The following is a 10,186-nucleotide window of genomic DNA, read 5'->3' as shown; positions in this document are numbered from 1 at the left end:
CTGATAGGAAAGAAAGCGTCTTTCAGGTCCAAGCAGGTGAACCAGCTGTCCTCAGCTGGTGGAAACCCCAACAATGTGGACGGGTTAGGTACTGTTGGGTGGAAAGTCAGTGTAGCTTGATGAAGCAAGCGCAAATCCTGTACCGGCCAGTAGTCCTTGGTCCATGGCTTGGGAACAGGAAGGATGGGAGTGTTCCATGGAGATTGACAAGGAACAATCATTCCAAAAGTTCTTAGGTGCTTGAGACGGACCTGGATACCTTGAAGGGCTTCTCTGGGGACCGGCTCCTCTTTTTGCCTCACTGGCAGGGCCCCAGTCTTAACTGGCCAATCCTGGAGGGTTGTCTTCTGCCCATACTCTTGGCCACCGCTTAGCCAGAGCTGGTCTTCTCTCTTGGCCCAGCTCAGTTAAGAAAAGTCTCCATTCCTCCTCTCGGGGGACCATAAGGGTCATAATGACTCCCGTTCCGGGTAACTTTAGCAGCGAAGAGCCATGCTCTGTCAAAGAGATAGTGGCTCTCAGCTTGCTGAACAAGTCCCTTCCTGAAAAGTTCAAGGGACAGTCAGGCATGTACCAAAACTGATGAATAACTTGATGTCCTCCTACAGTACAAGTCCGAGGCAAGCAGAAAGCTTGCTTTGCTGAAACCCCCGTGGCTCCGATGATGTTAATAGTCTTTTTGGATAAGGGGGCGACTGGGGCGGTTACTAGCGAATGTTCAGCACCGCTATCTACAAGAAAGTCAGTGTCTCCACCCCTGACTGTCATTCTGAGCACAGGCTCTTTGGGGACGCTTGAGCCCGGTCTCCCTCTGTCCAAGAACCCTTCTGCCAGGTTGAGCAGGGCCCCTTCCTCCTTGTCCGGGGCCTCCTGCTCTGAGTCACCTTGTTTTCTTTTAAGCTGAGGGTATTTGTTTTTCTACTGTCCTATTTCTTTACAATAAGCACACTGGTTATGCTGCAAACTCTGACAGCCAAGCTGAGTTTCTTTCCCAGGGCCCCCCTTCCCTTGCCTCTTTGGGGGGGGCCCTCTGATTGCTGCAGCTGACAAACAGGTCGGCGTGTCACCGGGCCTGACCTCCATTCTCTTTGCCTTTTTCCTTATGGCTTACTGCATCCCTGTTTACAAACACCTGGCTAGCTCTTTCTAGTAATTGGGATGGATTCATCCCTGCAAGCCCAGCCTGTTTCTGCAGTTTTCTTCTCATGTCTTCTGCGCTTTGACGGACTAAAGCCATGTGAATCATGCGCTGATTTTCAGGGCTATCGGGATCAAAGGGCGTATACATACGATAGGCCTCCCACAGTCTCTCGTACAATTGTGCTGGACTTTGTTCTTTTCCCTGAATGAACTCAGAGAGCTTGTTAACGTTTGTGGCCTTCTGTGCTCCCCTCATTAATCCTTCCAAGAGAGCTTCCCTGTCTCGGTTTAGCCTTTGCATATCCTCTCTTTCATGTGGGTCCAACTGGGGGTCTGTTCCTGGCAACTGGGTCCTTCCATACTCGTGGGGGTTTTGATAATCAGCTGGTGCATGTTCCTCTAGCCACTCAGTTGCTGCTTGGAGGACTCTCCGCCTTTCTTCGCTGTTAAAGAGGAACATGAGCAACTGGTGCCAATCAGCCCAGGTGGGGTTGTGGGTCTGTATAACAGTTTGGAGCAAATCAATTAGGGCTTGTGGCTTTTCGGTATAGGGCGGTGTATTGTTTTTCCAGTTGAGAAGGTCGACGCAGGTGAAGGGCTGGTACCCAAAAACACGCCTCTCCACCACGTGACTATCCTCATCTATCCCAGTCTACCGCTGCTCTCTCAGGGGCATTTGTGACCCCGTTTTGGGTCGTAAACGAGCTGCTGAAGTGGGGTGGAATGGCGCAATGCGACTTACCGCAATTAATAATCTCAGTTATTAATTGACACTAATAATTATCAATATTAATAACTGATAATATAATTTTTCAAATCAATACCGATAATAATGATAATTAATATTAAATAGTTATACTAATGATAACAATACATGATTAATATTAATGATTAATGACGCCTGATATTAATAACTGATATTGATCTTATTCATTAGAAAACAGTAATATTAGCTCCTAATAATTCATATTAATATTAATCTGAAAACTTTATTAGCAATTTTTCTTAATATTAATATTAATATCGGTCATTCATATTCATGTTAATAAGAAATGAGGTATAATTCACACTAATATTACTCCCTAATACCTCAGTGAGTGTACACCCACCTGTGATATTGCTCCTAATGTCCAGGGTGGGAGAGAGCATGATATTACGTTCAACATCGCAGTAGGTGTACACCCAGCCGGTGATATTGATCCGAATATAATCTCCAGGGGCTGGAGTATGATGTTACTGCCAATATAGCACTGGGTGTGCATCCACCCGGTGATTTTGCTCCTAATATTCACGGAAGAAGACAATGCTATTACTCCCAACATAGCAGGAAGTGTACACCCCCGTGTGAGATGGTCCTTAATAACATTCCAAGGCGGAGGGGGTGATAGGACTATATATATGGCAGAAAGTGGACACTACCAAGGATATAGTTCCCATGATCCCAGAGGGAAGAGAATGATATTACTTTCAATATCACAGAAGGTGGACTCGCCCCCACTGATATTGTTTCTAATTGCAACGTGGGAGAGGAGGATATGACACGCGATATCCCAGGGAGTAGAAACACCCATGTGATACTGTTCTTAATATTCAGGGAGGAAGAGGATGATATGACACCTAATAAAGACGGGTGTACAATCTCTGTATACCCAGAGTGTACACCGGTTTGTGAAACAGTTCATAATCTCCAGAGCGGGAGATGATATTACTCACAATATGATAAACAGGCTGTGTGTTCACCGCAGATCCTAAAAACCAGCGGGGCAAGAGGGGATGGCTCTTACTCCCCGCATCGCGGGGGGTGCCTCACCCCCCTGCGATGGGGGTCCTAAGAGCCAGGGGGGCAAGAAGGGCTGGCTCTTACTCCCCGCATCGGATATAGTACTATGGGTGAAACAACAATGTGGCTGTGGATGTAAATTAAGGTAGTAAATGTTAAAATGCACAAATGAAAATAGAGTGGAAGCATTTATAAAATTTATATTCATTTTCACCTGACCATCTAAACATGCAATTATAATAATTTTCATCTATCATGTTAATTATTCATAGATAAGAGAGTTTAAGACATGTTTTTTGTCCCGGAGTCTGAAGAAGATGGAGTTAGAATTTTCACCACTTCTTTTGTCCGTCAATTTCAATGATCTTCAGTTTGCAGCAGATGCTGAAGTCAGCACAGTATCTAATTGCATGTTCATCAGCATTGCACTTCAGTCTGCAATGATAATATTCTGAAGGACATTCATCATTAGAAATGAAGCTTCTGGCTTTAAAAAGAGAAGACAAATTATATGACACAATATTACTTACTTTTTATTGTTAAATGTCTGAAATGTTTTATAATAAATTAAAAACATTACAGAACTTTCCCAGAAAAACAAAATCAACAGCAAAAAATGCAAGAGAAAACGTGGAGATGCTGAATAAAGACAAGCGATGATTTCTTCTATAAAGAGAGTAGATAAATGAGGCAGTAGCTGGAAATGCACAGAATTTTAAATGAGAACTATTACCACATATTTCTACCTAAAATGAATTATCCAGCTTGGGGGTGGTGTAGAGATTCATAATGCAGGAAATAATGTTTAACTTCTGGAGTTAAATTCTTGAGAAAGTCATTGGGGATGTAATCTAGTGTAAGTAGAGGGGTTGGCCTTGAATCAGAGAGTGAAGAGAAGGTAGATTATGGATAAATATAAAACTATATGAAGAGATATGGTGGTGGGAAAGTGGAAAAGCTGTCTTTGGTTGCTTCTCTGTTTTTGGTGAAATGAGAAAAAAGAATCCTTAAATGAGAGAAGGGTCAGAAGGAGTTGAGTCTTAGTTCCAGCTTCCCAGCGTATTCGGGCTCAAGGCCATGTGTCCTTTATTGAGAAAGTTACTGAGATATGCACAGGAGCCTATAACCCATAATCTCCCATAAATATTCCCTTTAAACCTACCAGTCCTTCCCAAATCCTTTTGTTACAATTTATAAGTTAAAATAATTGCCATGACCAACATCATGAAAGGTTCTCCTTATGTTTTCTTCTATAAGTTTTACAGTTTCAGGTAATTATGTTTAAATGTGTAGTTCATTTTGAGTTGCTTTTTGTGTGTAGTGTAAGATACAGGCCCAGTTTTATTCTTTTGCATGTGAATATTCAGTTTTCTCAGTACGAAGTATTGAAGAAACCGTCTTTTCCCCATTATATATTCTTCGCATGTTTGTTGAAGGCCAGTGGACTGTGTAAGTGTCGGTTGATTTCTGGGTCCTCTATTCTCTTCCAGTGGCCTATATGTCTGTTTAAGATTGTTTTTCCTATTTCTGTCAAGAGTGCCATTAGGATTTTGATAGGGATTGTATATAATCTATAAATTGCTTTGAATAGTATGGATATTTTAATATTATCATGTCTTCCAATTCATGAACATAGGATATCTTTCCACTGATTTGTGTCTTCTTTAATTTCTTTCATGAATGTCTGCAATTTTTAATGTACCAGTCTTTCATCTTTTTGTTAAGTTTATTCTTAAGTGTCTTATCTTTTTCTTGCTATTATGAATGGGATTTTCTTTACTTGCTTTCCAGTGCTTGTTGTTAGTGCTATAGAAACACAACTGATATTCGTATGTTGATTTTCTATCCTGCAACTTTACTGAATTTGTTATTAGTTGTAATAATTTTGGGAGAGTGAAGTTTAGAGTTTTTTACAAAAAAATTATGTCATTTGGAAATAGATGATTTTACTCATTCCCACCCCCCAACTGTTTGGATGCCATTTATTTCCTTTTCTTGCCTAATTGTTCTTGCTAGAACTTTTAGTATCATGTTAAATAAATGTGGCAAGAAGGGGCACATTTGCCTTGTTCCTGATCTTGGAAGAAAAGCTTTTAGTTTTTCACCATTGAGTATGAGCGAAGAATTTCTTTTTACTTTTATTGTAAGGTAGGACTACTGGTGACAAACTCTATTTTTGTTTACCTAAGAAAATTATGTATTTTTACCTTAATTTAAAGGGTAGGCTGGGTGCGGTGGCCTGCACCTTTAATCCTGGTACTTTGGGAGGCCAAGGCGGGCGGATCACCTGAGGTCAGGAGTTCGAGACCAGCCTGGCTAACCTAGCGGAATCCAGTCTCTACTAAAAATACAAAATTAGCCAGGCATGGTGGTGGCTGGCTGAGGCACGAGATTGCTTGGACCCAGGAGGCAGAGGCTGCAGTGAGCCAAGGTCACTGCCACTGCACTCCAGCCTGGGTGACAAAGTGAGACTGTCTAAAAAAAAGAGATAATTTTACTAAGTAGAGAGTTTTAAGATAGTGTTCTTTTTTTTTTCTTTTATAACATTTTAAATATTTCACTTTCCTCTCTTTTTGCTTATGTGGTTTAAGAGAAGTCTGATGTAATTCTTATCCTTGGTTGTCCATAGATAAAGATTTTTTCCCTCCTGGCTTCTTTTAAGATTTTTTTTTTTTTGTCTTTGATTTTTGGCAGTTTCAATATAATATGCCTATGTTTAAATTTTTTGTATTTATCTTGCGTGTTATTCTCTCAGCTTCCTAGATATGTACATTTTGCTTATTTTCAATTTCGGGAAAATCTCAGTCAGAATTTCTTCAAATATTTCTTCTGTTCCTTTCTTTCCCCTCCTCCTGATATTTCATTACACATATATTGTTCCTTTTGTAATTGGCCTACACTTATTAAATATTCTGTTCTTTTTAATTCTTTTTTCTTTGCTTTTAAGTTTTGGAAGTTGCTATTTAAACTTCTTTAAGCTCACTGATTCTTTCCTTGATCACATCAGTCTACTGAGGAATTCATCGTTATGGGCTAACAAGTGTTCCTCCAAAATTTGTATGTTGAAGTCCCAATCTTTAGTATCTCAGAATGTAATCATATTTGAAGATAAGTTTTTTTTTTTTTTTTTAAGGACTGATAAAGCTAAAATGAGACTCCCAGGGTATGGCCCTCATGCAATATGGCTGATGTCCTTGTTAGAAGAGGAAGAGACACCAGGAATGCATGTGCACAGAAAAAATGCCATAAGAGGACATGGCAAGAAGGCAAGCAGCTGCAAGCCAAGACAGGCCTCAGGAGAAACCAAATGTGCTGACATCTTGATCTTAGAATTATAACTTCCAGAACTGTGAGAAAATGAACTTTTGTTATTTAAGGCACCCATTCTGTGGTACTTTATTATAATAACCCTATAGCAATGCAAGAATGGCCTAATACATCTATATTTATATTGGACAAAATTGACTTTAAGTGAAAAAACATAAAAAGAGACAAAGAAGGTCATCATATAATGATAAAAGGGCCAATTCAGCAAGAGGATATAAAAATTCCAAATATGTATATATATGTACCAAGTAGTGGAATGCTTAGATATATTAAAAATGTCATTAGAGCTAAAGAGAGAGATACACCTCAACATCATGATAACTGAGGGCTTCAATATCCCACTTTCAGCATTGAACAGATCATCTAGGTAGAAAGCTAACAAATAATCATTGAATTTAATCTGTACCGCAGACCAAATAGACTTAACAGACATTTACAGAACACTTCATCCAATAGCTGTGGAGTACACATTCTTCTCCTCATCACATAGAACATTCTCCAGGCTGGACCATATGTTAAGACACAAAACAAGTTTCAACAAATTTTGAAAAATCAACATTATATCAAGTATATTCTAGACAAAAATAGAATAGAACTAGAAATGAATACTAGGAAGAACTTTGGAAACGATACAGATAACATGGAAATTAAACAACATGCTTCTGAACAACCATTGAGTCAATGAAAAAACAAAGAAGAAAATAACAAATGTTCTTGAAATATATGCAAATGGAAACACAACATACCAAAACCTATGGAATACAACAAAGACAGTGCTAAGAGAGAATTTTATAGCAATAAATGCCTACTGCAAGAACATGGTAATATTATAAACAAGCTACTATGCACCTCAAGGAACAAGAAAAACAAGAAAAAATGAAATCCAAACTTAGGAGAAGGAAAGAAATAATAAAAATCAGAGCAGGACTAAGTGAATTCAAGATTTAAAAAATGCAAAGAATTAATGAAACAAAAAGTTGACTTTTGGAAGAGATAAACAGACTTTATAAACTGCTAGCTAGACTAACCAAGAACAAAAGAGAGAATGCCAAATAAATAAAATCGGAAATAAAACAGGAGACATTACAACTGATATAAAAGAAATACAATGGATCATTAGTCTGTTATAAACAACCATATGCTAAATAATCCATACGAAGAATTTTTTTTTACCAACACCAATAATCAATCTAACTTTCCCAAATTCATTTTAAAATCCACCAATACTTTATAATAAATCATATTAAACTGTGGTTTATACCTGAGATTTAGATTATCAATTGACTTATTTATCTTTTCTGAGGCTCATATTACCTCCGAGCACATTTTAAAATTTATTTCAAGATTCTATCATTTATATAATTATACAGAATTATACTTTTCCTCCATGAATGTTGGTGTTTTATATTTTTATTGAGATAGAATTTACTATAAAATTCATTCCTTTAGAGTGTTCCATTTAGTGAGTATCAGTGGATTCTTAGAGTGGGATATACTGATGACCACTGAATGAAGGAATGAAGTACGAATCTATGCCACAACATGGATGAATCTTGAAAACATTATGCTAAATAAAAGAAGGCAGACATGAAGGATCACATATTTCTTATTCTGTTCATAGTAAATGTCCAGAATAGGAATATACATAGAGACAAAAATTAGATCAGTGGTTGCTAGGGACTGGGAGGAGGAGAGATTTCTTCTTGCGGTTATAAACATATTCTGGAATTAGATAATGGTGAGGGGTGCACAATTTTAAGAATACACTGATAACCACTGAATAGAACACTTTAAGGCAATGAATTTTATGGTAAATTGTATCTCATAAAAATATAAAAAACCCACTAACATTCATGGAGGAAAGGCATAATTATTTATAATTATATAAATAAGGGAATCTTGAATCATGAAGTATTATATAAATGAGGGAATCTTGAATTGTTAAGTATTAAAATGTGCTTCAGAAATGATCAATAAGTCAACCAGTAATCTAAATCTCAGGTATGAACCGCAGTTTAATATGTTTTTATTATGGGGTATTGATGAATTTTAAAATTAATGTGGGAAAGTCGTATTGATTATTTAATTAATATGCTTATATATAATTGGCTAGTTATGTGGTTAAAAATTAAGGTGGAATCTTAACTCTCACCATACAAAAAGTAATTTCCATATACATTAAATGATATCATATGAGTTTTATTCAACTTTAAAGGAACACAGAGGCTAGGTCCTTGCCTGGATCAGTGGTGAATTTATCCTGTGAACCAAGGATTATGGTGGAGTATCCACCTCTTCACCTCTAGCCCTTCTTCTAGTCATCATTCACTTTTCCTTTTTCCAATTCTTTAAATTTCCTGTGTTCTGTGTGTATCCTCTCACCATCTTTTGATCAAACATAACTCTCAAGTAAGTTTATTTTTTATTATTATTATTTTTTGAGACAGGGTCTCACTCTGTTGCCCAGGCTGGTGTGCAGTGGCATGACCTAAGCTGAATGCAGCCTTGACATCTCAGGCTCGAGCGATCCTGCCTAAGCTTCCTGAGTAGCCAGAACCACAGACACGCGCCACTATACCTGATTAATTTTTTGTATTTTTTTTTTTTTTTTGGAGAGATGGGGTTTCACCCTGTTGCCCCCACCAGGTCGGTCTAGAACTCCTGTGCTCACCCACCTCAAACTCCCCAAGTGCTGGGATTATAGACATGAGCCACTGTGCCCGGCCTCAAGTGAGTTTATCATAGGTTAAATCACTGCAGTGAACCACCTTATTTATTTCTTTAGTATCAACTCTTCAATCCTCTGAGCAGCCTTCATGGTACAGTAAAATCTGCCCATGCCTATTTTATTTTCAGACTCTTGAAAGACCTTGCATTTTCTTTTACTTATATTTTTAGAACTTTGGAATAAAAAAGTTTCTGTCTTACCTGGAGGAACTGTGAACATCAAGGAAAGGACTCCAAAGACAAAAAACAAGACCCTCATGGTTGAATAGGTAAAGCAGGTTAGAGAGAATCAGTAGCTGAGATGAAGAGGACTTCTGTGTACATTCAGTTCTCTGAAGAGGTGAGTTGTTGAGTGATTATTGAACCTTTCAGGAGCAAGAACATTTCTGTGTTTCAAGGAGATTTTATATCAGGAGAAAGCATGCAATCATCACGACTATCAGTCATTTAAAGTACATTTATCAAAGGTCAAGAGGGTGTGTGCAAAGGTAGTAGAAAGCACAGCCATGGCAAAGGCAGGAGAGAGACTTGAAATATCAGCATTGTCTTATGCATTCTGGAGGAACTGTAAAAGTTAAGGAAGCAGTTATAGAGGAAAAGCATTCATTTTATTTTTCTGATAATAGGAAGAAGCACGTAATACAAGAGCATGCCTATTTATTAATATTTTGGCACCGTGTGTTAGCATGCTTAAGCAATGGAATTAAATATGAAATTATAAACAGATTAGTGAGATACAGAACAACTTTTATTTGATTATCTTTCTGTCCAATCGATCAAATGAGATAAACTAATTTTTCTATTGAAATCTAAGTTCACACAAATTGTTTGCACATCAGTTATGTGTAATATGAGAGGAATTAAAGAAAGAAAAGTGGGCCTTAGGGAACCCATAATACACTTCGGAAAGCAAGTAATATATACAAAGAAACGGCAATGCAACACGAGCATATTTCTGGCAAAGAGGCACAAATTACTTCTTAGACACTAAGGAAATGAACATAAACACCAGAATACTTTGGGTGCCGTAGGGAATGCTTAAAGAGGGTATGAGTAAACTTTATTTATTTATTTATTTTTTATTTAGAGACAGGGTCTCACACTGTTGCCCAGGCTGGAGCGCAGTGGTGCGATCTTGGCTCACTGCAACCTCTGCCTCCCGGGTTCACGTGATTCTCCTGCCTCAGCATCCTGAGTAGCTGGGATTACAGG

The 10,186-nt window shown here is 38.1% G+C and overlaps 1 protein-coding gene across 1 annotated transcript; it reads right to left on the bottom strand.

Annotated features, from left to right (window-relative positions):
• Nucleotides 1–3,100: 3,100 nt before the first annotated feature.
• On the bottom strand, nucleotides 3,101–9,353 carry DEFB131A (defensin beta 131A). The gene is made up of 2 exons (NM_001040448.3): nucleotides 9,176–9,353; nucleotides 3,101–3,407 (listed from the first exon to the last, which is right to left on the bottom strand). The coding sequence occupies exons 1-2, from the start codon at nucleotides 9,231–9,233 to the stop codon at nucleotides 3,253–3,255; spliced, it is 213 nt and encodes a 70-aa protein (NP_001035538.2). The 5' UTR covers nucleotides 9,234–9,353; the 3' UTR covers nucleotides 3,101–3,252.
• Between the last annotated feature and the right edge of the window lie 833 nt (nucleotides 9,354–10,186).

The sequence above is a fragment of the Homo sapiens genome, chromosome 4 (assembly GCF_000001405.40).
Source record: "Homo sapiens chromosome 4, GRCh38.p14 Primary Assembly".
NCBI lineage: Eukaryota > Metazoa > Chordata > Mammalia > Primates > Hominidae > Homo > Homo sapiens.
This window is presented reverse-complemented; position numbering and strand designations above follow the sequence as displayed.